We start from the raw sequence: 27,993 nt of genomic DNA on the forward strand, positions 1-27,993 counted from the left end.
ATTGTCCAGTCAACTTCCTCACTGCACAGATGAAGAAATTAAGGCTCAGAGACAGGAAGGCACTTGCCCAAGGTCACATAACTCCTTAATGACAGATACAGAATTCAGAATTAGAACTCAGGTTTCCTGCCCTCCAGCCTAGGGTATTGCACACACTTCACTGCTTCTCTGGAGCTGTTCTTTTAGGGAAGAAAGATGGTTCAGTGAAGGCCGGTTCCAATGCCCTCCCCTCTGCCCTCTGTTAGTCCTTTCCCACATCTAGCTTCAATCTCTTCCCTTTCCCCCTATTCCATTCCTCTGGAAGTCTAGCTTCTGCCTTAACCCTTCACCACGAAACTGGGAGTAAGGATCTTCCCTAGGGTTCCAAGAATCAATTTCCTCTCCCCACTCCTCTGCCCTGGGAACTTGGGGGAACCAGAGATGTGTGTGTGTGTGGGGGGGTGCTGTTGGTTGAACCTCGGGCACCGAGTCCACGGAGAACAGATGGAGAGGGGTTGCGGCACAGATTCTCCCAGGATAGGAGCGCGGGAGGGAGGTGCAGTGAGCAGGGCTGGGAGCGGGGAAGAGGTGTGGGGAGTCCCTGTTGCTTTACCCCTTCGGGGGGTGGTTATTAGGTAGGCTTGGGAAGGCGGAGTTTGGGGGGCTGGGGGCGGGGCTCGGCTGCGCTGGCAGGAAAGGGGGGGCGCGCTGGCTCCAGCTCGGCTCAGACAAAAGGCGGCGGCGGGAGCGGGCGGGAGGCGGAGCGGCGCCGCGAGGGCCTCAAGGTGACACCCGCCCCCGGCCCCGGCCCCCCCCGGCCCGGCCCCCCAGCCTGCCTCCCACCCTCAGCCCCCAGCCCCTTACTCCCGGTGCCCTTTCCGGGCCCCCTCCCCCGGCGGGGGGTGGGGAGCAGCGAGGGCCCCGCCCCCTCCCGTCCTCTCCCCAGGGCCCGCGCAGGATGCCCCCGGCCCCTGGCAGCCCCCCGGGAGGTCCTGAGCTCGACGCGCCCCCTCTACGCCATGTCCCCCCCTGGCTCGGCCGCGGGAGAGAGCGCCGCCGGCGGCGGCGGCGGCGGTGGCGGCCCCGGGGTCTCGGAGGAGCTCACGGCGGCGGCGGCAGCGGCGGCGGCGGACGAGGGCCCCGCCCGAGAGGAGGTGAGAGTCTAGGGCGCCCCTTCCCCGGGCGCGGCCGCAGCCTGGCCCCCCATCCCCCATCGCACGCGTCCCCCGCTGGTTCCGCCGCAGCGCGGCCGGCGCCCCGCACCCCGAGCCGGCCGCTGCAGCCGCAGTCCGCGCCGCCGCCCCCACCCGGCGGCCGGAGCTGTCCGCGGTGCCGGGGAAGGGGCCGCGCCGGGGGCGGGGCTCAGGGGTCCCGGGCAGGGGGAGGGGCCTAGGGGCGGAGCCTCGCGGATCCTGGGCTTATGAGAGTGGGGGCTATGCTCTACCGGGGTGGGGACGGTGGCGGGGATCCTGTCTCACAGAGGAGGATGCTACCTTGAAGGCCAGGAAGGGCGGCTTGTACGGGCTACAGAACGAGGAGGGTACCATGGGGAAGTGGTGGTGGTACCTGATCTGGGACCCTAAGGAGGTCAGATGTGTACGGGGGGTCCCGCCTGTGGTCATTGGGAGTGTGTGTGTGTGTGTGTGGGGGGGGGTGTGCACCTCTCTCTCACGAGGCTCCTGCTGCTTCCTCATATCCCTAGTTGGGGTCCCTAGTACTCAGTCCTCTGAACCTGAAGACAAAGAGACGGAGGAAAGTACCAGGAGCACCCCCACTCCAGCCTCCCATGCACACTTGTGCACACGCATGCACCCTGTACTAGGGCAGAGGCACACAAGCGGGGATGGGCCTGCAGGTAAAGCCCCTTTCAGAGGTACCCACATGGGGACAAGCACATAACCAGGTAGGCACACGAAGGGGCCCGTATGTTCATACCTCCTAAGGACAAGGCTCCCCGAAAGGCACATGTACCCTAATCTCCTTGTCCACATGTACTGTGTGCTATTTCCTAGCTCGCCTAACTATCCATACTTCTAGATCCAGGGACCGATGCCTATTACTGTACCCTTCTTTTCCACTCTTTTCCTCTCTTTCCTGGCTGGCCTCTAGGTCAGGCCTGAGGAATTGAGGGGGTAAGTCAGGATCCCAGCAGGAGGTTGTGTGTGTGTGTGTGTGTGTGTGTGTGGTGGGGGATGGGTTCCTAAAGCTAGACAGCACAGAGGAGGGGTGGGAAAACAGAGGCCACTACAAGAAATTAAACTCAACACTCAATTAGGATGTGGCTGCTGGGGGCCAGCACCATGGTAGGCACCTAGGATGCAAAGAGAATGAAGCATGGGCCCTCAGGAGTACCCAGTGTAGTGGGGAGCCAGACATGTAAACAACTCCTGGGCCAACCCTGGGACAGAATGTGCCAGGAGCTTTAACAGACAGGCTCCAGGAGAGTACCAAAAATAATTTTCTCTTGATAAATTGCTGGGCTTCAAACGTTGTCCTCGCTACCCCAGTCCCACATCCCCTATGCCTGTCCTCTCCTCAGCCACATGCCTCTGCCCTTCTGGATACCTCCTCCTGGACTGCCTGCCGCTCAGGGACCCCAGCCCCCTCCCTCCCATCCTAGGACAAAGGGAAGGATGTCAGGGTGCAGGAGGGAGACTCACAGGGGAACCAGGGTCCAGAACATGGGGAATGAGACTGGGCCTGGGGTTCTCTGGAGGCCCTTATCCAAAGGACGTGTTAGGCTAATTGTGAGGGTTAGGGAGGTGGATGGGTCAGAGGGGAGTAGCTCCTCTAGAACCTAGGACTGAAAAAAATCTGGAAGTGAGGGCCCCACTTGTTAAGTGGGGAAGTGATGTCAGTGGGTCCCTCCCCCTTTTCTAGAGGACCTGGAAGGGGTCTGGGCTGGGGACCTTCCTTCGCTGATGCCTGTCTGTCTGTCCTCCCCTGTCTTCCCTGTCCACATCTTCTGTTTCATTGCCATTTTTGTGTTTGTCTTCGGATGCTCTCTGGGTACCATCCTATCCATCTGTGTTTGCTGCCTGGGCCTCTATCTCTGGCTCTGATCCTTCTCTGCCTCTTGGGGTGTCTCTCTCTGCACTCTCCTGTACTGGCATTCCGGTCCCCTTTCCTGTCCTCTGGCTTGCTCTGTGTCACTTCTGTTTCTACCTCTGGCCCCTGGCTCCCATCTTGGTCTCACCTTTTCTCTCCATATCCCTGTTTCTCTCTGCCTGTTATCTCTGGTGCTGGCCTCTGCCCCTCCATCCCCGTATCCATCTCTGTGCTGGGTCCTGCCTGCTCTCACTTCCCACTCATCTTGGCCCCTCTCCCTGCCCACCTGAGCAGCAGCGTCCCATCCAGCCCTCTTTCACCAAGTCCCTCTGCCGTGAGTCCCACTGGAAGTGCCTCCTGCTCTCGCTGCTCATGTACGGCTGCCTGGGGGCAGTGGCCTGGTGCCACGTCACCACAGTGACGCGCCTCACCTTCAGCAGCGCCTACCAGGGCAACAGCCTCATGTACCATGACAGCCCCTGCTCCAACGGCTATGTCTACATCCCCCTGGCCTTCCTGCTCATGTTGTACGCCGTCTACCTGGTGGAGTGTTGGCACTGCCAAGCCCGCCATGAGCTGCAGCACCGTGTTGATGTGAGCAGTGTGCGGGAACGTGTGGGCCGCATGCAGCAAGCCACGCCCTGCATCTGGTGGAAGGCCATCAGCTACCACTATGTCCGCCGCACCCGCCAGGTCACCAGATACCGCAATGGAGACGCCTATACCACCACCCAGGTGAGGAGCTGGTGGGGAGTGCAGGACATTCAACATGGGAGGTGGCACTTACGTGCTGCCTCACTCCCTCCCCACCTCCCTGGGGGGAAGGTGGGAGGAGCAAAAGGCAGCAGTGAGCTCCCATGAGCATTGCAACAGCAGGGCAATAGCAACAACCATAATCATAACAGCAAAAACCGACCAGGAGCCAGGCTCTGCTCTAAGTATTTTACACACATCAAATCATTTATTTAACCCTCATAACAACCCTATGATGTAGGCAGGTATTCCCATTTTGCAGATGAGGAAACTGAGGCCTGGAGAGTTTAAGTAATGTGTCTAAGGTCAAATAGGCAGTATGTGGTGGAGATGAGACTTGAACTCAATCAATCTGGCTCCAGGATCTCTATACTGTTTAGTGCTTAATGGATCTACTTAGTGATTAATGGCAGAGTGTGGTGGCTCAGGCCTGTAACCTCAGCACTTTGGTGAGGCAGAAGGATCTCTTGAGCCAGGAGTTTGAGACCAGCCCACCCGGCAGCAACATAGTAAGACCCCATCTCTATAAATAATAAAAAGAAGTAGCTGGTGTGGTGGTATGCACCTGTAGTCCCGGCTACTCAGGAAACTGAGGTGGGAGAATCGCTTGAGCCTGGGCAGTTGAGGCTGTAGTGAGCTGTGATTGCCACAGTGCAAGACCCCATCTCAAAAAAAAAAATAAAAATAAAAATAGTGCTTAATGGCTGGAGATGGCTTCACATGCCCAGTATCATAGCATGCTCTTACCTGTTCAGTGAGGTGACTGCTACTGAGTTCTTTCACAGGTATGGACACCTAAACTCAGTGACTTGTCCAAAGTCTGCTGCTCTTAAGTGGTAGTGCTAGGCTCAATCCCAGCTTCCTGGATGTCAAGTTCAAGGGTCTAAGAGGAGGTGGGCGTAGGAAGTCTCACTGAGGGTGGGCAGGTCAATCAGCACTTTGTGGACTCGCCAGGATGAGACATATTGGGGTCCTGGAGGAGACGTTCCCAGATGCAGGCCATCTGTCTCAGTATAAGGATCAATAGACAGAAGCCTGGGGCGGGTGAGAAGCAGGAAGGAGGCTGATGATAGCTACAGCGTGAACAGGCAGACTAGAGATAGAGGGGTTCTTTAGGGAGTGCTTCTGGGGAACCCATTGGGAAACACAATTGTAAAAGGGAAGAAAGAAGAAGAGGAGGCTGTTTGTGGTGATGTGGGGGCACTTTGGAAAACAGAGGCAGTGGCAAATGGATCAGGCAGGCCAGAGGGGCAGTTCATGGCCAGGGCCTGACCCCTAGAGGAAGCAGGGCTTAGTTAAAATTTAAATGCGCGGCCGGGGGCGGTGGCTCATGCCTGTAGTCCCAGCACTTTGGGAGGCCGAGGCGGGTGGATCACGAGGTCAAGAGATCGAGACCATTCTGGCCAACATAGTGAAACCCCGTCTCTACTAAAAACACAAAAAATTAGCCTGGCGTGGTAGTGGGCGCCTGTAGTCCCAGCTACTCGGGAGGCTGAGGCGGGAGCATGGCATGAACCCGGGAGGCGGAGCTTGCAGTGAGCCGAGATGGCGCCACTGCACTCCAGCCTGGGCGACAGAGCCAGACTCCATCTCAAAAAAAAAAAAAAAAAAAGAAAAAGAAAAAGAAAAAAAATTTAAATGCGCACAGGTAGGGCTGGTTCTAGTCCGGTCATCACGTCTGATTACACAGAGGGCGTCAGTTGCCCTGTAAGTCAGACGGAAAGATCCTAACCAGCTCCAGCCGGCACCTAAACCAAGACAGACTTAGGGTCCGACCAGGCAACCAGAGCACAGATGGGGCGGGAAAGGGTGAGTGGGCAGAAGCGGGCACCAATGACGGGCTCCCCGCGACCCCGCCGCCTGCCCCCCGCGCCGCAGGTCTACCACGAACGCGTCAACACGCACGTGGCGGAGGCTGAGTTCGACTACGCGCGCTGCGGCGTTCGCGACGTGTCCAAGACGCTGGTGGGGCTGGAGGGCGCGCCGGCCACGCGGCTGCGCTTCACCAAGTGCTTCAGTTTCGCCAGCGTGGAGGCCGAGAACGCGTACCTGTGCCAGCGCGCGCGCTTCTTCGCAGAGAACGAGGGCCTAGACGACTACATGGAGGCACGCGAGGGCATGCACCTCAAGAACGTGGACTTCCGTGAGTTCATGGTGGCCTTCCCGGACCCGGCCCGGCCGCCCTGGTACGCCTGCTCGTCGGCCTTCTGGGCCGCGGCGCTGCTCACGCTGTCGTGGCCGCTGCGAGTGCTGGCCGAGTACCGCACGGCCTACGCGCACTACCACGTGGAGAAGCTATTTGGCCTGGAGGGCCCGGGCTCGGCCAGCAGCGCAGGCGGTGGCCTCAGCCCCAGCGATGAGCTGCTGCCCCCGCTCACCCACCGCCTGCCGCGGGTCAACACAGTAGACAGCACGGAGCTCGAGTGGCACATCCGCTCCAACCAGCAGCTGGTGCCCAGCTACTCTGAGGCGGTGCTCATGGACCTGGCGGGGCTCGGGACGCGCTGCGGCGGGGCAGGCGGCGGCTACGCGCCCTCGTGCCGCTACGGTGGGGTAGGCGGCCCGGGCGCGGCGGGCGTGGCTCCCTACCGGCGCAGCTGCGAGCACTGCCAGCGCGCCGTCAGCAGCTCGTCTATCTTCTCGCGCAGCGCCCTAAGCATCTGCGCCAGCCCGCGGGCCGGCCCGGGGCCCGGTGGGGGCGCGGGCTGCGGGGGCAGCCGCTTCTCGCTGGGCCGTCTCTACGGCTCCCGGCGCAGCTGCCTGTGGCGCAGCCGCAGCGGGAGCGTCAACGAGGCCAGCTGCCCCACGGAGCAGACGCGGCTGTCCAGCCAGGCCAGCATGGGGGACGACGAGGACGACGACGAGGAGGAGGCCGGGCCGCCGCCGCCCTACCACGACGCCCTCTACTTTCCGGTCCTCATCGTCCACCGGCAGGAGGGGTGTCTGGGCCACAGCCACCGGCCGCTGCACCGCCACGGCTCCTGCGTAGAGACCTCACTGTGACCTCCGGCCCCGGAGTGGCCCGCGCCGTCCTCCCGCCTGCCCCTCGCCGGACTGTGCTCCCTCTGCGACGCAGGGCGAGTCACCACGGTGACTGAGGCCGCGCGGGGGGCAGGGAAAGGGAGGTGAGGGCCGCAAGACAGGCCCGGATGGGGCCGAGACCCCCGCTGTCCCTGTACATAAAGAGACCGATGGGTGGGAGGGGGTCGGCTGCTCCCCGAGATCCCCCTGGCAGAGTCATTCTTCCAGCCCCAACCCTGAGTTCCTAAAGGGACACCTCCCTCCTGTCCAGCCCTTCAACAGATCTTCTGTTAGATGACAACCGTGCCGTGGGCCCCGCGTTGGGCCTTGTCTGAAGGGAGAGGCCCTGGCATGCGGATGGGAGATTTAGAGGCTGTGGAGAAGGGAACTTGGGGCTTTCCTTCCTTCGTGGCCTCACTCCCCTGGGGCCTCTCTCTATGGAGGGGGCAATGGTTTGGTGACCAGCAGGCTGGATTCCAACTAGCTAATGCATTCAGCAGGTCTGAGGCTGGGGCCAGGTGTCAGCCCTAGGCCTCCATCCAACACCGTGGAAATGTTGCTGCCCTCTTCTTGGCGCTGACCCCAAGATTGGGGTTTCCTTTCTGCCGCTCCCTCCACTGTTGTTTATCTAACTGGGCCCCCACTCCAGGTCCAGAGGGACTGTGCTCACTGCACAGACATCACTCACCTTCCGCTCCCCAGTCCTGCAGAGCTGTTGCCAGGGTGCAGTGGGGAGGGGAGTGAAATGTGGAGGACTGTGTACCTCAGTCCTCTCTCTAAACTCCTCAGCCTCCCAACAGGGGCCTCCTCACCTGGGTTCTGAGTGTATACCCCTTTTAGAGAGTGAGATGCCACCCGGGCAGCACTCGTTAAAGCTGGCCAGCACGAGTGACTAAGGGGAGAGAGCATGACATAGACCTGGGTGGCAACGGGGACCTCTGGAAGCAGGTGGGAGTAAGAGAGGAGAGGGCAGTGGAGGGTAGAGGAAAAGGACCTCCAGAGGTGGGGTGTCTGTGGGGGCGGCCTTTGCCTCCCTAAACCTGTGCGGAGGAGTGGAGTGTGCTTGTCGCTCAAACACATCTCTGGGGGACTGAGGACGTTGTCACAAGCCCCAACTGGAGAAATAATTCCAATGGCAGGGTCAGAGGCAAGCATTCTCTAAATCTTGCCCAACCCTTCCATCCTTCCCTATCCTATGAGCTGAAGCCCTGCTGTGTGTCGCAGGGTCTTCAAAGGGGCATCCTGCCACCACCCCAGGGCGCTGGCCCCACGTCCTGTTCCCCTAAAGCTCTGACACCGCCTTCTCTCCGTGTGCTCCCCCCACCACCTCCACCCTGATGTGCTTCAGTGTGCATGTCTGTGAACAGCCCTCCTGCCCTGCCAACTCCCCTGGCTAAAGTCTCCCCAGCAGATTTAGCACCCAGGGATTGAGCTCACATTTCAGGCTAGAGAGGATAACCCTTGGGCCACCCACATCTCTCACCCCTGATGCTTCTTACTTCGCCTGAGCCATCAGAACTCCTCCTTACCCTCCTTCAGCCCCTCTCATCTTCCTTCAGCCCAGCCAGGCCTGCACCACCAACTGTGTGGCCTCCACCTATGCAACATCGCCTCTGGCTCCCCTTCCCTTCTTCCTAGCGGGGAGTGCGAGGGGCCCAAATTGTGGGGATACCATGGCCCATGGCTTCTAAAGGGTTTAGCTTTACTTTCAGGTAGAGATGGCTGAGTGAGGAGGGAGAAGAGGCTAGAGAGAGGGAGGCTTGGGCAGGGGAAACAGCTGCCCACCAGGTTTTCCTGGACAGCAGTGCCCACCTGCCTACTAGCACTGAACCTGCCTGGACCCTGAGTCTGTGCTCCTTGGGGGCCTGGCGTTTGGAGCACCCTTCTTTCCTCTGAATGGACATCTGTGAGGTACAGGTGGTGAGCTGCAGCCTCAGGCTCCATTTCTTAGCCAGCTGGCACCTGGATGTCATGCTTTGTGTGGGGACAGCCTGGCCACCTCAGGGCTCCAAGGAAGGAGGAACGTGGCTCCTCCTCCCTCAGGCCTGTTCCTGAGACAGAGCCTGGTCTCACAAGAGGGGAAGGGGGACCTCTATTATTATTTTTGCCTGTATTGACCATTTCTGCCTAGGTCGTCTCAGACAGCCTCATCTCCCACACATGCACAGACTTAGAGAGAAACCAATTCTTTGGTCTATTTTCTTGGTAGCTTTACTGATTGCCAGGGAAAATGAAAACCAGAAAATTAATTAATCTCTAAAATTAAACTTTACACTGAATGTTCTTGTTTCTCTAATTAGAACTTCTGCTAGCAGCTGTGGCTATACACACACACACACACACACACACCCTCACACCTACACGTTTGCACTCCGGAACTGTCAGAGGGTGTCAGGCACAGACAGACTCTAGGTTGCCTAGACAGGCACACACATGCAGTCACTCCCAAGCCCCCTTTGGTGCTCTGCTCAGCGCCTGCTTAGCGGAAGGAGTCCCTGGAGAGCAGGCACTCCTGGACTGGGGTTGTAGCCCATGACCTGCCCTTTGGGGACACAGTTCTGGAGGCTCTGGGCCAATGAATCAGCCCAAGGAGGATGGGCAATGGCGCTCAGCCTGAATCAGTCAGCTAGGTCTCTTGTGGCCCTGGGGGCTGATGTGATTCCTGTAGGTGTGGCCCCAGGGTGGACAGCTACAGAGTGATGGGGGACTCATGTAGGGCACCTGGAAGGCTCCATGTGTCCTGGGGACAAGGGCTTGTGGGGTGGGCTGGGCCTGGCTGGGGAGAAGACAGGTCTCTGTCAATTGGGTGCATCACACTGTGGCCTTTTTGTCGTGGATTTAAGCGCAAAGATTGTACAAATCAAACTGGTGGATAATAAAGTCGTGGATGACTCACTGACTTCCTGTCCCAGTGTGGCACTTCTTTCCCTCCCTCCCAGGGAAGCTCTCTGGGGTGGGTGGCAGGGATTGTGTCATCCTTCCCTGGAAGTTGTCATCTACAGTTGCCTCCCCAGAGGAGTCCACTGGGTCTGAGCCCCTGGTGTCAGCTCATTGTCCCCTTCCCAGGTTGGGAGTTGGGGAACTAGGGGATGGCGTGGCCTGTAGAACTGGATCACTTAAAGCAGAGTCAAGCAACAGGGAAATGCATCTACAGGGATGAGGGTGGCAGAGAGAGCCAGGCATAGCCCTGCTGTAGCCAGAGGGTGTGTGTGTGTGTGTGTGTGTGTGTGTGTGTGTGTGTGTGTGTGTGTTTGAAGATCAAGGATCTGTTTGGTAGAGAAGAAAATGGTGGGGAGTCAGGGAGGCAGGCAGCCCCAACGGGAGAATCTGGCAGGCACAGTCCCTCAGACACCTCTCTGACTTCCCTGTTCCTGAAAGAAGTTGGTCATTTGTGGGTGTCCAGTAATATCCTTTCCCTGGGCACAAAGGCTGGGTCCCTACTGCATACCCTTTCTTCCCCCATGCCAGGCTCCCTTCCCTGCCTCATGTCTCCATCCATACAACCCTTGATCACTCCAAGGTTATTCACAGTCCCCCTCCCCGCTCCCTCTGAACCAGTGTGATACTCTGCAGCAGGCATGGCAGGGGTATGAAATGAGGGATGGGGCTGGGGCCATGATCCAAGTCAGGTCATTTTATCCCACAGAGTTCTCAGGGCCATTGGCAGTTATGGTTGACATGAAGTGGCTGGGATTCAGGGCCCGCTGGCGGGCTGCTTCTCGGTTTGCGTAGAGGGCCTGGCCAATGAGGTACTCGCTTTCCTGGGCCACATCTGACAGGCGCAAGTCAAATTCCAGGAGGGTCTTGTTGTCTGACATGCCTTCCAGGAGCTGCTTCCCACCGTCCTGGGAGAAGGGTGCAAAGGAAGGGGTCATTTACATCACTACCCAGGATCTGACACACATACTACACATTTTCAGGTAGATGTGACTAAAACAAAAGTTTCACAAAACAATACTTAACCTATTTGTGACGCATGATGACATATTCTGTTCTTTTCCATTTGAAAAATGGTAGCCAATACCCACTAAATTGACATCTCAACCCTACTAGTTTGAAAAACATGAATCTCTGGCAATGAAGATAATTCCATTCCTTTGGTTCAGCCATGGGCATGTGGGACAAATCTAATGAGATGTGAGGGGGAAGCTGAGAGAGGGTGGCTTCTGGGAAGCTTCTCCTCATTCCAAAAAGAGAAGAAAAGGGAGCAGGTGTTCTCCCGGTTTCTGCCTCTGGGCATGTCCCTGTATGAGATGTCAGAACTGTGGCAGCCATCTTGGGACTGACAGAAGCACTAGCGAGGCATTGGCCATGAGACTGGGGTGGGCAGAGCAGAGGGTAGCACTGAACCCAGGGGTTTACCGACCCTACAACCCTCTAATTCTGGTTGTGGGAGACACTGAATATTCCTCCTGCTTAAGCCATTTCTGATTAAGCTTTTTATTACTTGCAGTCAACAGCACCCCCTCTAGAAACTGTGTGTGTGTGTGTGTGCGCGCATGCACGTGTGTGTGCGTGTATGTGCCTGTGTAGGTGAGCAAGGCTGTTCTCATGGGGAGGTTTAGTAGAGGGTTCAGTGACCTAATGGAGGGCCCTGCTCAATGGTCATCACAGCTCCAACCCCTGCTGGGCTGGGTGGGCTAGCCCCAATGTGAAAGAATTTCACGTTGGGAGGCAGAATGCTACCATTCTGTGGTTGTGACCCAGTAGTGTGTTGCAAAGTCAATTTAATGGGTCACAGAAGCATTTTAAAAAATACAATAGAATGGAATGTAAAGGAAAATATCAGCATATATCACGTCATAAATTTCAATATTATGTTTATGTCAGTGTTCATGTAAATTGCATTTTTTTTTTGAGACGGAGTCTCGCACTGTCACCCAGGCTGGAGTGCAGGGGCACGATCTCAGCTCACTGCAATCTCCGCCTCCTGGGTTCAAGCAATTCTCCTGCCTCAGGCTCCCAAGTAGCTGGGGTTACAGGTGCATGCCACCACATTGGGCTGATTTTTGTATTTTTAGTAGATATGGGGTTTCACCATGTTGGCCAGACTGGTCTCGAACTCCTGGCCTCAGGTGATCTACCCACCTCAGCCTCCCAAAGTGCTGGGATTACAGGCGTGAGCCACTGTGCCTGGTCGTAAATTGCATTTCTTACTCTCAGACTTGGTTAAGAAAGTTTTAGAGACACAGTCTATTAGAAAGGACTCAGGCTTTCAATCAATCTTGGGTTTGAATCGTAGCCTTGCCACTTGCTACTGACTTGATGCCCTTGGGCAACTCACTATCCTCTCTGAAACTTAGTTTTCCATCTAGAAAGTAGGGTTAAATATACTTAGTTATATACTTAAATATATTTAGGGTTAAATATGCTTAGGGTTAATATACAGTTACTTAGGTAACTGTAAGGATTAAAGGAAAAATAATCATTGGGATACACAGTATGTGTGCATACTTGATGCAGTATGTAGTATGTAAACTCTGTGATCTTCACAATTATCCCACAAGTACCCCTGGCAGTTGGATTCCACACCCACCCTCACAAGCCCAGAATAGGTGGCTCACCAGCCCGATGTGGTTGCAGGACAGGTTGATGCTGGTGAGTGTGGTGTTGATGGCGAGCACCTGTGACAGGAGTGTGGCGGTGGGCTCAGACAGCTCATTGCCACCGAGGTGCAGCGTGGTGAGGCACTTGTTGGTCTGCAAGGCATGGGCAAGAGCCTGGCCACCCTCATCCTCGATGCAGTTGAGACGTAGGTTGAGGGAAATGAGGTTGGTGTTGTGTGCCAGAGCGTGAGCCAGGGACTGGGCACCGGGTGCACGCACCTGGTTGTTAGCCAGGTTGAGCACACGCAGGCGGCTGTGGCTCAGCAGCTTGGCAGCACCTCGTGCACCACGGTCTCCAATGAGGTTTTGTGACAAGTCCAGCTCCTCGAGGACTGGGTGGTCCAGAAGGCTTCGAATTATGATGCGTGCCTTGTCATCATCCACCTTGCTTCGGGTCAGCTTGAAGATCTGTGGGCAGGCAGAGGGTCTACAGCAACTGCCAGCCAGGGATAATCAGCCTGCCCACCTAGATCTTTGGCAAACTTGGCTCACCTAGTGTTGGCCACCTGGCTGGGTCTTGGAGGGGGCCAGGCCTACCAGCATGGCAGAGTAGTGTAGAATTGGTGGCAGGTAGCAGGGAGGAAAGATCACTGTTTATTGAGCAATTACTACATGCTGGGTATGCTGCTTGGGTCTTCCTTTTTTATCTTTTTTTTTTTTTTTTTTTTTGAGACGGAGTCTCGCTCTGTCACCCAGGCTGGAGTGCAGTGGCGTGATCTTGGCTCACTGCAAGGTCCACCTTCCGGATTCACACCATTCTCCTGCCTCAGCCTCCTGAGTAGCTGAGACTACAAGTGCCCGCCACCACGCCCTGCTAATTTTTTGTATTTTTAGTAGAGACAGGGTTTTACCGTGTTAGCCAGGATGGTCTTGATCTCCTGACCTCGTGATCCACCCGCCTCAGCCTCCCAAAGTGCTGGGAATACAGGCGTGAGCCACCGCGCCCGGCCGCTTGGGTCTTTCACAACCATTATCTCTAACCTTCAGCATCTCGATGAAGAAGAGAAAGTTCTCTCCATTTTACAGACAGAAAATGGAGGCTTACATTATTTCCCCAGAGTAATGCAGTGATTGAAGCAGTTGAGACAGGTTTGGAATCCAAGCCTGCCTGAGGCCTCAGCCCCTCACTGCATCCTCCTCTCCCAGCCAAGATCCACCAGGGCAAGGAGAGGACCTCTTTGAAGGAGGTTGCCAGGGCAAGAACCAGGGAGACAGTGGGGAGGTGGAGAAGCAGGAAAAGGATGAGATAAAGGAATGAAGGAAAGGGGATGGGGCTGGCAGTATGAATATTGTCCATGGGAACCTCTCCCCCTCACCTTCCCGCTGGCTTGTCCCACTCCTCTCTCTCCCTTGAGACCTCTGAGTGTCTGGCCTCTCTCTCTCTACCCTTCGGTTCACTCCTTTTTATACCCCTCTTACCCAGCTGAGTCCTTTGTGTCTCTTCTCTTTTCATTGCGTCTCTCTGGCAAAGCCCTAACCCTGGATCAGCCCCACTCTCTATTTTCTGCATGCCTGTGCGCAAGCAACTGACAAAATAGAAAACATCAGCTGATGGGACTGGTTGCTATCACCGGAAACACCAATAGGCTTGTAACGCTGCATGCCAATCTAACTATATTTCTCTGGCCAAAATACCCTCTTATAATCTACAACAACTATTTCAGCTTTTTGCAGCCTCCTCAGAATTCAGGGGCCTCCTTGCTGAGCCCCCTCTTTCAGCAGGTGAACTCTCCTCTTGCCTTCTCAGTCATTGAATGGGAACCTGTCATTTTCCTGATACCAAGCACTGACTTATTGGTCTATGAACCCGTGCCTCTCTTCTACATTCATCCCCTTTCTTGCAACTGGATGGAGCCTTACACTGGTTTTAAACATATGTGAGTTATTCTGAAGGAACCCAAAGCTCTCATCGGTTATGGCTGTACCTTTTCCCCTTCGCAGCCAAGTTCTTGAAAAAGCTGATCACAGCCACCCATTCCTCACTTCCCACTCTCCCCAGAAACCACTGCTATCTGGCCTCTGCTCCTGCCACTCCACTGAAATAGCTCCCCCTCAGTGACCTCCATGTTCACTAAATCCAGTCCTCAGCTCTATTCCACCCCGTTGCTCACTCCCTCTACTTGAAACATACCCCTCCCTTGCTCTGTGACACAATGCCATGTTTCCCCATTTCCTCCTCCCTCTGGCTTCCTGGCAAGCTCTTCTTCTTCCACTGAGACCACATGCCAGGCCTCTTGTTGTCTTGCTTTTGGCTCTCCCCTGTGAGACTCCATCCAAACCCAGGGCTGCAACTGCCACCTTCATGAAGATGGCACACATTCCCACATTCAATTCAGACCTCTCATCTGAGCTTCGGACCCTCTACCCAACTAACGAAATGACCCCTTCTTTGAGATGCCTCAAACTGAAACTTACACTCTTCCCCCTCAAAACTGATCCTCTTCCCACATTCCCTGTCTCTGCACATGGTCCCTCCAGCCATCCAGCCTCACAAGCCAGAGGTCTTGCACCTCACCTCCTTCTCCTTCCTTCTCCTTCAGATCCTCCCTGTGCCAGTGTGGCCAGGTGCATGCCAGACACATGTCTGCCTAAATATGTGTTGACTCTCTCCACTCCTTTGAGTCTCCACAGACACTACCCTCGCTGAAATGACCCTCACCCTCACCTGGATTTGGCAGTGATCTCCTAGGTAATCTGCATGTCCACTGCTGCCCTGCCCAGGCCATCCTCCCTCACAGACGGAGTGACATTTTCACATGTGAAATCCAGTAATGGTACCTACTTTTTTGCCTAAAACCCTTGGATGGTGTCCCAGAGCTCCTAAGGATAAAGATAGCCTCCTGGACAAAGCCTCCTTCACCCAGCAAGGCTGACCACCTCACACTCTGCGCCAGCCACACAGTCTTCTCTTTCTCTTTGAGCTGGCCATGTTCACTCTGCCCATAGAGCCTGTATGCACTGCTCCCTCTGTCTGGAACGCTCCTCCCTCTGAGACTGTAACTCGTCCTCCTCCTTCTAATCTCTATGTAAGTGACATTTGTTCAGGGAAGCCTTCCCTTGCAAGGTCAAATGCTCCTTTACAATCTCTCATAAGAGTATCTCTTCTTTATAGCATTCATCCCAATTCAGGGGTACCAGAAAAAAGTACAGGATGCCCAGTTAAAAATAAATTTCAGATAAATAAGAACGCCCCATGGAATATTCGGGACATACTTATAAAAATTCTTTGCTGTTTATCTGAAATTCAAAATTTTTGGAGACAGGGTCTCATTTTGTAACCCAGGCTGGAGTGCAGTGGTGTGATTGCAGCTCACTGCAGGCTTGAACTCCGAGGCTCAAGGGATTCTCCTACCTCAGCCTCCTCAGTCTCTGGAAGACTACAAGCGTGCCTGGACCTGAAATTCACATTTAACTGGATGTCCTGTATTTCTATTTGCTACATCTGGCAACCCTATTCTAGTATCAATTTTATGTTTATATGATTGCTGATTAGTGCCTTTATCCCATCAGACTGTTAGCTACAGAGGGCACAAATGATAATCTTGCTCATCCTTGAATCTTCAGCACCTAGGACAGGGCCTGGAGCGCAGCTGTTTGTTCAATGAAACCAACTGGTGAACTGGGAGAGCAGCGCCTTGTTCATCTCTACACCCCCAGAACCGTGTATCTTGGTGCAGGGTGCATTAAAAAACACTTGGCCAATGAAAGAGAAGGAAATAGGAAGAAGGCAATAATAGAGGAGGAAGAGGAGGGGAGAGGGAATCTGAGAGATGCTGAGAAGGGGTGGGGGGAAGGCTGGGAGCAGACAGTACCTTGAGGGTGTGGCATGCCTTGATGGCGGCTGCCAAGGAGAGGCAGTCACGGTAGGTGAAGAGGAAGAGATTCCACTCGAAATTCATGCCGCAGTCCTTGACATCGTACACCAGGTCCAGCTCCTCCAGGTGGCTCAGGCCAGCTACCAGATCGCCCAGTTGGTAGTGGTCAACGGTGGGCTCCTCCATCTCTCCCTCGCTGCCTGAGTCGGACTGGTCGCCCGGCCGGAGCTGGGCCGGGAGCTGCACCGGCGGAAGGAACTGATCGACGTGGACCCTGCGCACGTAATTCCGGCAGAGCGGCAGCAGGTCGAGGATCACCGCAGGGTCTGTGGTGCCTGGGATAAAGTGCTTTAGCAGGTTCTCCAGGTGCCGCTCGAAGAACATGCGTTTCCAGCTGCCGCCATGGTGGGCCACGTGGCACACGGGCCAGCGATGCATGCAGCAGCGGAGCCAGTAGTTCTCACTGTCTATCAGGTTGGCGGTCACAGCCAGTGGTAGGTCAGGGGACAGGTGGTTCAGGACCTTCTGCTGGTGTTCCGGGAGCATCTGCTTCAGGATAGGGTTTTCTTTGGGAACAGAGGAAGGAGCGCAGGGGGTCACAGTGTTGGGGGACACCTCAACATGATGCCTCAGGCTGGGCCTGCCTGGGAGCACCAGGCAAAGGAGAGACCCTTCCCTGCTTAGGGGATAGACAGCCTCTGCTCTCAGGGGGGCTCAAGCAGAGGGTGGGACACAGCCTTTAGCTTTGGGATGTTCCCTGCCTGAAGGTGGACATCTCAGCATCTGTTCTCAGGGAGTTCCCAGACTGAGGAAGACTCTCAGGTCCAACTCTCAATTATCACCTGGTCTGATGGGGGATACAATCCCTGAGGTCAGAGGCTTCCAATCTTATTTGATTCATCCATTTCAAAACAAGAAATTTTTTGAGCACCTACTATGTGCCAGACACTGGAGGTAGCACTATGAGAGACTACTATGTCCCACGTGCTGGAGATAGAAGAGTAAGCAAACAGGGCTCTCCCTTTTGGAGTTTACATTCCAGTGAGGGGAGGCTGACAATAAACAAGTAAAATGAGTGAGACTGGGTGATGATAGTTGCTGTAGATGAAATAATGGCCCTGTCCTCAGACAGCGCCCCATCTGGTAGGAGAGGCTGGCAGTCCATCTTTGGAAAGGATCAATATTACAGAGCACAAAATATGGAACAAACCAAGAGCCCTTACATGGCATGGAAGACTCCATCAGAGTAGAGGGCGGTTCACTTGGGAAGGCTTTCTGGAGGAGGAAGTAGATATGGCTCAGGCTGGGTTTTGCTGGAGAGAGTAGAAAAGGCAAGGAGAGGGCAGAGGCATGGAGGGTGCAGTGTGGGTGGGAGTCTGGTGGGACCTGCCAGTGGGAACAGAAGGAGAAACTGTCTTGGCCCTGGGTGGAAGGGAAGTGTTGAGTGGGTATGAGGATGCCATACGGGAGAGCAGGGGCTGCCCCAGGACCCAGCTTCTGCAGTCTTGGCTCCGGACAGTCCCCACCCACCTAGCCCCCCTCTTGGCCTTCTCCTGCCCACCTAAAGCAGGGACAGACTCACTCTGGAAGTTCCTGATAATGTGCTGAATGCAGAGCTCTGTGAGGAGGGGCACGATGGCCAGTGACCACTCAGGATCCTCAGCAATGATCCGGCGCATCCGACGGATATTGGCCCTGGGATGTGGGTTCCTGGACTTTGCAGGGACTGGTGTGATTGAAGGCTTTGAGAGCTGTGGGCTTGTGCTTGAAGTGTGTCCTCCAGTGGAGGAATTGTCCTGGGTGGAGACTGAGGAGTGGCTGGGGTCCAACAATGCTGATGTCGTTACGGTATCCTGCATGCTGGAGGCTGGCAAGGTAGGGGTGCGTGGCCCCTGGATGGCCTTATGACAAGAAGCTTCTCAGACTGGCAGGTCCTTGAAACAGGTAGGGATCTGGAGCAAAAGGAAGAGGGTAGAGGTGTTACTTTGGTGGGTCTTGGTGGGCATTTACTAAGAGAGGTGGTACAGAATAGTGCTTAACGATCAGTCCCTGGAGTGAAGCAGATCCAAGTTATCTGTGTGGCCTTGGGCAAGTTACTGAACCTCTCTGAATTTCAGATGTTGCCTCTGAGAAATGAAGGTCGCAGTTCCAGTAGGATTATTTGGAGGAGTGGATAAAATAATGCATCCAAAGGGCATAATATAGTATCTGACACATGAAACTAGCAAGGAGCAGCCCCAAATTTTAGATAATAGCTCTACAGCAATTACAGTAATTGCTCTGTGCCAGACAATCTTTTTAGTTCTTTATGCCTATTAATTCATGTGTCCTCAGAAAAGCCTTTTTCAGAAAAGGCTTTTTCAGATAGGTGCTTGTATTATTCCCATTTTTCTGCTGGGAAACTGAAGCAGAGAGGCTAATTGACTTGCCCAATGTCATGCAGCTTAGAAGTATCACGGGTGGGTTTAAATTCAGTCTGTCAAATTCATGCTCTGAACCCTACATTGGACCGGCCCTCTGAGGGTGAGGGGTGTATATTGCCAAAAGACACAGATATAATAAAGAGCCATTCAGCTCATAACAGGACCCTGCACTAAGTATTTCATAGAACAGCAACTGCCTGATCCGTAGGATGGGGTTGAGAACAGCTCTGGCCAACAGAAATATAATGCAAGCCAAAATGCAAGCCACATATGCTATTTTAACTTCTTTAGTGCCCACATTTTAAAAAGTAAAGAGAAACAAGGCTGGGCGTGGTGGCTCATGCCTGTAATCCCAGCACTTTGGGAGGCCAACGTGGGTGGGTCCCTTGAGGTCAGGAGTTTGAGACCAGCCTGGCCAACATGGTGAAATCCTGTCTCTACTAAAAATACACAGATTAGCTGGGCAGGGTGGCAGGCACCTGTAGTCCCAGCTACTCGGAAGGCTGAGGCATGACAATCAGTTAAACCTGGGATGCAGAGGTTGCAGTGAGCCAAGACTGTGCTACTGCCCTCCAGCCTGGGTGATAGAGCAAGACTCTGTCTCAAAAAAAAAAAAAAAAAAAAAAAAAAAAAGAAAAACAGGTGAAATTAGCTTTTTTTTTTTTTTTTTTTTGTCTTGCTCTTGTTGCCCAGGCTGGAGTGCAATGGCGCGATTTTGGGTCACTGCAACCTCCACCTCCAGGGTTCAAGTGATTCTCCTGTCTCAGCCTCCCGATTACAGGGATTACAGGCGCCTGCCACCACCCCCAGCTAATTTTTGTATTTTTAGTAGAGACGGGGTTTCACCATGTTGGCCAGGCTGGTCTTGAACTCCTGACCTCAGGTGATCCACCCACCTCAGCCTTCCAAAGTGCTGGGATTACAGGCGTGAACCACTGTGCCTGACCATGAAATTAATTTTATATTTAGCCCAGTATGTCTAAAATGTTATTTAAACATATAATCAATATAAAATTATTAATGCGACATTTTATATACTATGTTTTCATATGAGGTCTTCAAAATTTGATGGCTCAATGGGCACATTGAGCCTACCGTTTCAATGTGGCTACTGTTTCAGAGAGTGCAGGTTGAGAGAGAAAGGAGAGGGGAACAAGACCCATGCCCTGCCCAAGGTGCCAGCACCCTTCTCTCCTCCTTCCCACTGAGAGCTCAAACTCCAGGTCCCTTCCCTTCCATCTCCCCATCCAGTCTTCCTCTAGCTCTCCCAGCCTCCCAGCATTCCAGACAGCAGTGGGCAAGCGTGGGAGGCGAGAAGACAGCTAAATCTGGGGCTGAAGACAGAAGATAGAGGATGTGTCTTGGTCCGGGGACCCTCCCCCATTTGCCCATTCCTGCACCCTTGCACTCCTGCCCTGAGATCTGCTGGAGGAAAGCCCAAATGGGGCTGCTGGCACCTAGTTCCTCCTCCAGGCAGTTTCCCATCAGATGTGCACCCTCACGACTCAGTGCACTGGGTAGTGGCCGGTGGGAGGGAACACTCTGAACCAGCAAAGGCGTCCTTGGCAGAGGGAGGGACCAGATGGTGCTTCCCAGCCTGCCAGGCATCTCAAGGAGGAAAAGCCTGGTTGAGAGGCGGGTGGCAGGGAGAGAGATAGTGCGGGAAAGATATCTAGGTATTGTGACATCCCCTATGCAAATCAAATGCAAATTCACACACAGATTGTGTCCAGAATTGTGGAATAACCAGATAGTGCTTTTTGACTAATGGCATCTCAGAGTGTAGGGCTGGAGGGGGTTGCTGCTTAGTGGTACCGGCTGACTTTGCATTTCTGGCTTTGTCAGTTATGTGCTTTGTGACCTTGGCCAAGTTACTTAACCTATCTGAGCTTCAGTTTCCTTATCTGAGAAACTGGATAATAATATCTTCCTACATGGGCTGTAGTGGAGATCCCCCTGAGATAATGGTCGGTTAATATTGATCATTGTAAAGCATACAGGGTGTGTGGAGAGTGAAGGTACTATGAGGGGCAGGGGTCTGAGGCTGCAGAGACCACATCCAGGAGACCTGCTTCTTGAGTGCTGACCTGAGATGGTATCTTTGGGTGAGTGCAAAGTTTCTGAGGCCCTTCCCTATTTCCAGGAGTGATGTGAAGGGCAAGGAGGCAGGGTGGTGTTGGGGGCTCATAGACAGTACGACAGAGGCAAAGGAGGAAGGTCAGAGGCAACAGGCCAGCCCAACTCCTGCTTGGTTTTGGCCTAAAACATTCTATAATTTCCCTTGGTCCCAGATATGTCCCTGGACACCCATGGGCCACACCCAGGGAGCAGGACCAGGCTTGGCAGGGGGAGCCCCAGGTTGCTGGTGTGCATTGCCCTGGAGTTGACTCTTTAGTCATTCCTCACAGCACCATCCAGCTTCACCATACTGGCAGGCAGTCCCTTCTCCTTCTTCTCCTGGGGAGCCACACCTGGGAAACCCCACCTGGGGCCAGGTGGGATGCCTCTGCAATCAGGTGACTCTAGTCCCACCGTCTAGCACCTCACTTTCAGGACCTGGAGTTCTTCCTACGATCTGGTCCTAATTGGTCTTGCTGCTGTTTTGTGCCTGCAGCCTGCCTCTGGGCATGACACAGCAGGACCCATCGGGGCATGTTCCAGGGCCCTGAACCAACTTCTCAGAAGGAAGGGGCAGGGCCTCGCTCCATATCACATGGCTGCCGTGTGCATGGCTGGTATAAAAATGAGCCCCTACTACCTTCAGCCTTTATAGGAACATCCATACCATAAGGCCTGATGTCATTTTAAGGCAAATGTTGAAAAAATTAATTGCATAAGATCAGAGTTGATAATTTTCAGTTAATCATCTCTTGATTTTTTAAAAATGGATATCACAAAAATATTTTGGCAGGCAAATTATTACCAGACACACAAGATTCTTCTAAGGAGGATTTTAGTTCTAAGTGTTTAAAAAAATCTACTTTTTAAACTAACAACATAGAAAACAAAGTATATTTAAAAGGATAACGAGCAAAACTAACTCCTTGCTGCCCCGCTGTCACTGTTATGAGGATGTGGAGTATGGCTCCTCCCTTGGCAGGTTGCCTTCTGACCCCTGCCCTTGGGGGACACCCTTTGGCGTGCCACTCTCTTGGCTCTCCTCCTACTTTCCGACCATTCTTTTTCCAAAAGTCTTCACCACAGACTTCTCTCCCTCTGCCCATCTCTCACGTGCCAAGGTCCCTCAGAATTCCGCCATGGTCGTCCACTCATTCCTTCTGATGGGTTCTAGCTTTCACCTCTTCCAGGTGGGGTTTCCCAGCTGTGACATCCCAGGAGAAGCAGAGGGTACTGTTACCAGGATGGTGAGGCTAGGGGGTGGTGGTGTAATGCCAGACTCTCCTACATCTGCATTCCAGACTCAAGTCCACTGGGATGCTGCCTAGGTCCCTCAAACTCAATCCATCCAGATGCCGGCACCAGAAACCAGGGAGTCACCTCTCTCTCTTTCAGCCCTCCCGCCCCACCCCACCATCTAGTTACTGATTCAGTTTTGTCTCCCACCCAGGCAGCCTCTCCTTTCCTGCTGCTGCCTTAGCTCAGGGCCCCAGTGTCTGTCTGGATCACAGCTTCAGCTGTTAGGCATGTGGTCTCTGGCATCCAGTCTGGTTCTCTCACATCTAGCCTTCACACAGCCGCTGTGGCAGGCTCCATGTAAGCCCTCTAGCAGCTCACCACTGCTCACTGGGTAAAATCCAGCCTCCTCACCTTGGTGTGTAAGGCCCTCCGTGGCTGGACACCTTGTTGGAAATAAGCTCCTCTTTGCATCTGGGACATTGCAGCCCAGTTCATGCTGCCCAGCCCTTGCTCAAGTTGTTCCCTCTGAAATGCCTTTCCCACCACCTCAGCCAGGGAAAGGGACAATCACTGGTCTTCTGAGTCTGAGCTCAAGCACCACTTCCTCTCTGAAGGCAAGGTGCTTCTTTGTCCCTGATACCCCAAAACAACCCCTCCCGTTGTCAGACCCCATCTTTCCAGTACCTGCATCACTCCAGTAACCTGACTGCCCACCCGTTCCCCACACCCACACTAGACTGTGAGCTTCTTGAGGTGTAGGGGCTGTCTCCTCCTCATTTTTGTCTCCAATTTCTAGCCCAGTGGTAGGTCTGCTTTAGGCGAGGTAGCTGGTGTTTGGGGCGGCTCCACTGGCTTCTGATAATAGATTCTGGCCAAAAGGAGTGTCTATTGGTCAGGGCAACTTGTTGGGGGGTGGCTATCTGATATAAGCCAATCGGAGTCCTTCTTGAGATTTGTCCAAGTGGAGGGAGACAGAAGGACATATGTCCTTGAAGGATCTGGATCTCCTGCTGCTGGAAGTCATTTCTCTCCACACGTACAAGGTCTGTTTGCGGTGGGAGGGAATCAAGCCTGGGGGAGACCAGCAGAAACGATAGATAGACAGAGACAGCATCCTGGTATCTTCAATCCCCATGCCTAGTTCTGGAGGCTCCCAGAGCTGTCTGGCTCTTTGGCAGTGCCTTCAGCTCTGAGAGCTAACTTGGCAGCCTTCTAATAAGTCCCTTTGCCAAAGCTAAGAGTTGGGTTTCTACTCCTTTTGACCAAAAGGTCCTGCCCCATTTTGACCAAAAGGCTCACAGTTTGGTGAGTGAAAATATGGGAAAAATCCTCAATCAGTAGATGAAAGAGTTCAATGGGATAGCTGAGAATGGCCAAAGGCCCCCAGGTTATTACTCACAGGACCTGATTCACTCCTGTGGCCTCTTCCTCTCTTGACTACATTGAGCCTCTAGTCTCACATCCCATCTCTCCAGGGCTGGGACAGTATCAGCACCTTACAACTGTCCAGCACTTAACAGTTACAAGGTCCTTTCAAGGTCCTTTCAGAACTATCCTCTCAAAAAAAAAAAAAAAAAAAAAAAAGTCTGGGTGTGGTGGCTCACACCTGTAATCCTAGAACTTTGGGAGGCCAAGGTGGGAGGATTGCTTGAGGCTAAGAATTCAAGACCAACCTGGCCAACATAGTGAGATGCCGTCTCTAAAAAATAAAAAAAATCTTCTCATGTGACTCTTCAACCACCCTATAATGGAGCTAGGATGGGCTTTCTTATCCCCATTTTACAGATGAAGAAACAAGGAAACAGGAAATGACTGGCCCTAAAACACCTATGAGAGCTGGGGCCAGCGTCTGAGGGCAGGTCTCCTACCTCTAGCCACAATACACTACCCCTCCACAGTCACTCAGTATGTCCCCCTCCCCTCACTGTTCCTGCCCTCCACTAGGCAAGAAGAAAGCATATTCTTGCTCCTTGGGAAGTGGGGAGGGCCTCCCCGGGCTAAGTGCGCTCCCAGGCCTTTGGCACTCCACTAGGGGAATTTCACGGCCCTAATGTACAGTCTTCATCCCTGTTAGGGTAAATGCATTTTCCCCCTAAATGAAACAAAATTTAATATCAATACTTGTATGCCTATATCCATATGTTAACCTTGAACTGCTTTTTAAAAACATATCTCATCATTTTAGGTCAAACAAAAGCATAGTAAATCATAAAATGTATACTGACACTAATGTAGCAAACTTTTTTTTTTTTTGAGACAGAGTTTCGCTCTTGTTGCCCAGGCTGGAGTGCCATGGCGCAATCTCAGCTCACCGCAACCTCTGCATCCTGGGTTCAAGTGATTCTCCTGTCTCAGCCTCCCGAATAGCTGGGATTACAGGCATGCACCACCACGGCTGGCTAATTTTGTATTTTTAGTAGAGACGGGGTTTCTCCATATTGGTCAGGCTGGTCTTGAACTCTCGACCTCAGGTGATCTGCCCGCCTTGGCCTCCCAAAGCGCTGAGATTACAGGCGTGAGCCACTGCACCCAGCCTAATGTAGCAAACTTTTTAAAAAGTAGAAGTTGTAATATATTGTTTCTGACAGTTTAAGTGTGCAGAAATTACATATATAATACACATGACTACATATAAGATATCAGGATATATGTATTCCACACCTTAGTGTGAATGAGTTTCAGATACAAAAAGCAAAGTTAGAAAAGGGGCAAGGGAGGCGGGATATGGTGGCTCATGCCTGTAGTCTTAGCACTTTGGGAGGTCGAGGAGGGTGGATTACCTGAGGTCAAGAGTTCAAGACCAGCCTGATCAACATGGTGAAACCCCGTCTCTACTAAAAATACAAAAATTAGCCAGGCATGGTGGCACATGCCTGTAATCCCAGCTACTTGAGAGGCTGAAAGAGGTGGTTTATAAGATAATTAGGGGAAAAAAATGAAGGTTGAACCCAGGAGGCAGAGGTTGCAGTGAGCTGAGATTGCGCCACTACACTCCAGCCTGGGCAATGAGAGCAAAACTCTGTCTCAAAAAAAAAAAAAAAAAAAAAGAAAGAAAGAAAAAGAAAGGAGGCAAGGAGAATAACCACAGAAAGGAGAGGAGGTGGGGAGTGGGTAAAGGAGAAGACAGGAGTCTGAGAGAGCTCTGCCTGTTTCACAGATTGGTCTTAGTCTGGCCTGGCAGTCATCAGCCTGCAGCTGAGGGTGCAAGTAGGTGGCACTATCTTCCCTGGGAGCCTGCAGGGATGGGTGGATACCCAATAGCTGGGGGCCCCGGGCACATGGACAGTCCCCAAGGACCCACAGAGGGCAGTCCTGGAGGTGGCTGAAGGGTCACCTTCCTCTCCGGAGCTTTCTTTCCCTGGGAACCTGTTGGGCCAGTCAGAGAATGCCAGAGTTTGAAGACTAGGAGCATGTTCAAGACTCCAGTCTTGAACATGGGCAGGGCAGGAATCCTGACATTCCAGAGAGGTCAGGGCCACCAGGAGTGGGTACGTCTTGTGCCACCACCTGGTGTCTCCATCCAAGGATGTGCTGCGCTCTCAGAGGGGGAAAGTGGGAGAGTGGGGACACGTGCAGTGGACTTTCACTTCTCTGGGGCCTGCCTCACCAGCTTGTTTGGCTTCACATGGTTGTGTCTCTAACCTGGGACCACAGTCCCCAGGGAAAGGCCAATCCTCCTCCCCTGGGCCCCTACTCTGCATCCTCAGGACCAGGGTCCAGGGTCCTGAAATCACACACAGGGAACAACGTCTATACCAGGACATTAACTCAAAGGATTGGGTGTGGACTGCTCTTTCCATGCCCAAGCACAGGTAATAGAAAGTGACAAGATGTTCCAGTTTGGCCAGGGTTGTCCTCATTTCTGATGGCTTGAATCTGGTGGACAGGTGTTCTGGGAACCATACCCTTGGCTATATATAGCTATGATTTATTGAGAGCTCTAGGCCTTCAATAACATGTACATAGCAGGAGGCAGGACAGCAGCTGGCTAAGTACTCAGGAGTTGTGCTGCTGCCTCAAGTCAAATCTCCACGGTGCCCCCCACTATCTGTGCAACCTTGGGCAGGTCCCCACTTGCCTCAGTTTCTTCATCTATAACGTGGGGACAGTACTTAATAGTATCTATTTCATAGGATTACTCAGAAGATTAAGGAGCTAATGTGTGTGAGACATTTCATATAGTGCTGGGCCCAGAGCCAGCACTCAAGATGTGTGTTAGATATTGTAGTGAAGATGCTAGATACCTTACTACATAATTTTATTAAAATCTCAAATTAATTATTGAGGATTATTATTTAACACTATTGTCCCCATTTCACAAATGAGGAAACTGAAACTTAGAAAGCTTAAGTAACTTACTAAATGTCACTAGCTAGTAAGTGGAGAAGCTGAGGTTTTAGTTTGTGTCTGTCTAATGCTCTTACTTCCATGAGATGCTGGGGTTGCTTATAAATTGCTCCCAACTCAGTCATTCATAGCACTTTTCCAGTGGGTCTCCCACTTTCTCCAGCTCATGAGCTCTCTTGTTCACCAATATGGAGCCCAGGGTTATACCCTTGGTGCTGACCTAAATAGTCCAGGCTCCCTCTTCCAGTTCACTGCTGGGTATAGGAGACTTCCGCAAGGCTGGACCACTGCCTGCATCCTTTGGAGGGTGCAAGGAGCCCAACAGAGTGCTGCAGAGTGGTGCTCTCCTGCCCCTGGCATATTCCCTCCACAGGAAGTCTCAGGTCTTCTCCATCCTTCCTCAGGTCCCCAGCTAAATCTAACCATTCTGGGTAGGAGCTCCTTCCACCTGCCCTAATGGGAACACGAGGAAGATGCTGTAGGTTTGCATTCTCACCTTCTTGTGCATCACAGTTCTGGTCCTCAACTGTCCCCTCCTCCCTTCCTCTTAGTGGAGAAGTGGAGACACCCGGCCCTCTTTGGGCAGACAGCGCCTCTGTGCCCGGGACACTTCCCCAGGAGCTGGCTTTGCACCCACTGCTCTGACTGCCTTCTCTGCCTTCTCAGCCGCTCCCACCCCAGATCCCCTCAGGAGAGCCCTCCTCTGTTCTCAGGGCTCTGGGCTTTTGTCTACAGCCACCTCCATATCCTTCATGCCCACCATGTCTTACTTTGGGGTAAGTCACTCCCAAGTTGGGAATTCCACTTGTGGAAGGGCAAAAAACTTTCTCCAACTGAGCCTCGGCCCGTGTGCTTGGACTTGGGCTGGGTGAAACCGCCAGTTCACTTACCACAGCCCCTGGGCTGGCCTCCTCCCAACTCCTGACCACTCAGGTCTGTTGTCTCAAAAGTGACTCCAGCGGCTCTGGAGTCTCCCACCCCTCCTCCCTACCTTCAGCTCAGACACCCCAGCAGAGAAGCTCAGCTCCAAAGGCCAGGAGTCCCTCCCCCATCCTACCTGGGGTGTAGAGGCGCTGGCTTCTCCTTGGTAACCCAGGGAAACCGGCAGTGCAGTGGGAGGTAGGGAGATGAGGAAGCTTCCGCACCCGCGGGAGGGATTACAGCCCTCGGGTGATGGGAACGGACGGCCTTTCGGAGAAGCCTAGGGCCCCAGGGCTTGGGACCGCTCTCCTCCACGCCCTACGGATGCCCCACTTTCCCCCTCTTCTTCCCAGTCCCTCCCCTCGCCTCACTCGGATCCCCAGCCCCGGGCCAGACGGTTTGCAGACAGTGACTGTGGTGGGGAGGAGGCGCGGGGCGTCCTCGCGTGGAGGGCGTGGGGTCTCCCGTGGGTACGGACCGGCGCTTCCCCGCCACGGAAAACGCAACCCAGGCAATGGCCGCCCGTGGGCTTCGGGCCGGTGTGGGCAGAGGACGCTAGAGGGGCTCCCGGGCCCAGCCGGCCAGAGGGGGCCCCGATAAGGGAGACCGGGGCTGGGTGTCCCCACTCCCGGAGGTCGCCTCACCCGCTCCGGGAGCCCCGGCGCTCGCCTCACGCAGAGTCCCGCGCGCCGGCGCAGGTCTTTGTCGTTGGGGACGCCCCGC

At 53.8% G+C, this 27,993-nt stretch overlaps 2 protein-coding genes across 10 annotated transcripts, besides 2 other annotated features; one reads left to right on the forward strand and one right to left on the reverse strand.

The window, feature by feature from the left end:
• On the forward strand, positions 706 to 9,700 carry TMEM151B (transmembrane protein 151B). Its single transcript, NM_001137560.2, has 3 exons — positions 706 to 1,133; positions 3,322 to 3,762; positions 5,659 to 9,700. Exons 1-3 carry the CDS (start codon positions 999 to 1,001, stop codon positions 6,781 to 6,783), a joined length of 1,701 nt encoding a protein of 566 aa, NP_001131032.1. The 5' UTR covers positions 706 to 998; the 3' UTR covers positions 6,784 to 9,700.
• Positions 5,665 to 6,457: an enhancer, noted in NCBI's record as "H3K4me1 hESC enhancer chr6:44243146-44243938 (GRCh37/hg19 assembly coordinates)". NCBI's record gives its function as "activates a minimal SCP1, AML or CMV promoter by ChIP-STARR-seq in primed H9 embryonic stem cells {active_cell/tissue: H9 hESC(primed)}" and the evidence as "EXISTENCE:reporter gene assay evidence [ECO:0000049][PMID:30033119]".
• DRC5 (dynein regulatory complex subunit 5) lies at positions 8,990 to 27,954 on the reverse strand. Of its 9 annotated transcripts, none has more exons than XM_047418272.1 (6): positions 27,407 to 27,954; positions 22,734 to 23,073; positions 17,805 to 18,174; positions 16,220 to 16,788; positions 12,366 to 12,815; positions 8,990 to 10,646 (listed from the first exon to the last, which is right to left on the reverse strand). In XM_047418272.1, exons 3-6 carry the CDS (start codon positions 18,079 to 18,081, stop codon positions 10,437 to 10,439), a joined length of 1,506 nt encoding a protein of 501 aa, XP_047274228.1. In that variant the 5' UTR covers positions 18,082 to 18,174; positions 22,734 to 23,073; positions 27,407 to 27,954; the 3' UTR covers positions 8,990 to 10,436. The 9 variants fall into 9 exon arrangements, with proteins under 9 accessions (XP_047274228.1, XP_011512640.1, NP_872345.2 ...); XM_011514338.3 differs by lacking the exon at positions 22,734 to 23,073 and adding an exon at positions 26,570 to 26,802 and having other exon boundaries at positions 27,407 to 27,700; NM_182539.4 differs by lacking the exon at positions 22,734 to 23,073 and having other exon boundaries at positions 27,915 to 27,954.
• Positions 27,868 to 27,947: a silencer, noted in NCBI's record as "silent region_17263". NCBI's record gives its function as "represses an Ori minimal core promoter by ATAC-STARR-seq in GM12878 lymphoblastoid cells {active_cell/tissue: GM12878}" and the evidence as "EXISTENCE:reporter gene assay evidence [ECO:0000049][PMID:35858748]".

Source organism: Homo sapiens, chromosome 6 (genome assembly GCF_000001405.40).
Source record: "Homo sapiens chromosome 6, GRCh38.p14 Primary Assembly".
Lineage (NCBI taxonomy): Eukaryota > Metazoa > Chordata > Mammalia > Primates > Hominidae > Homo > Homo sapiens.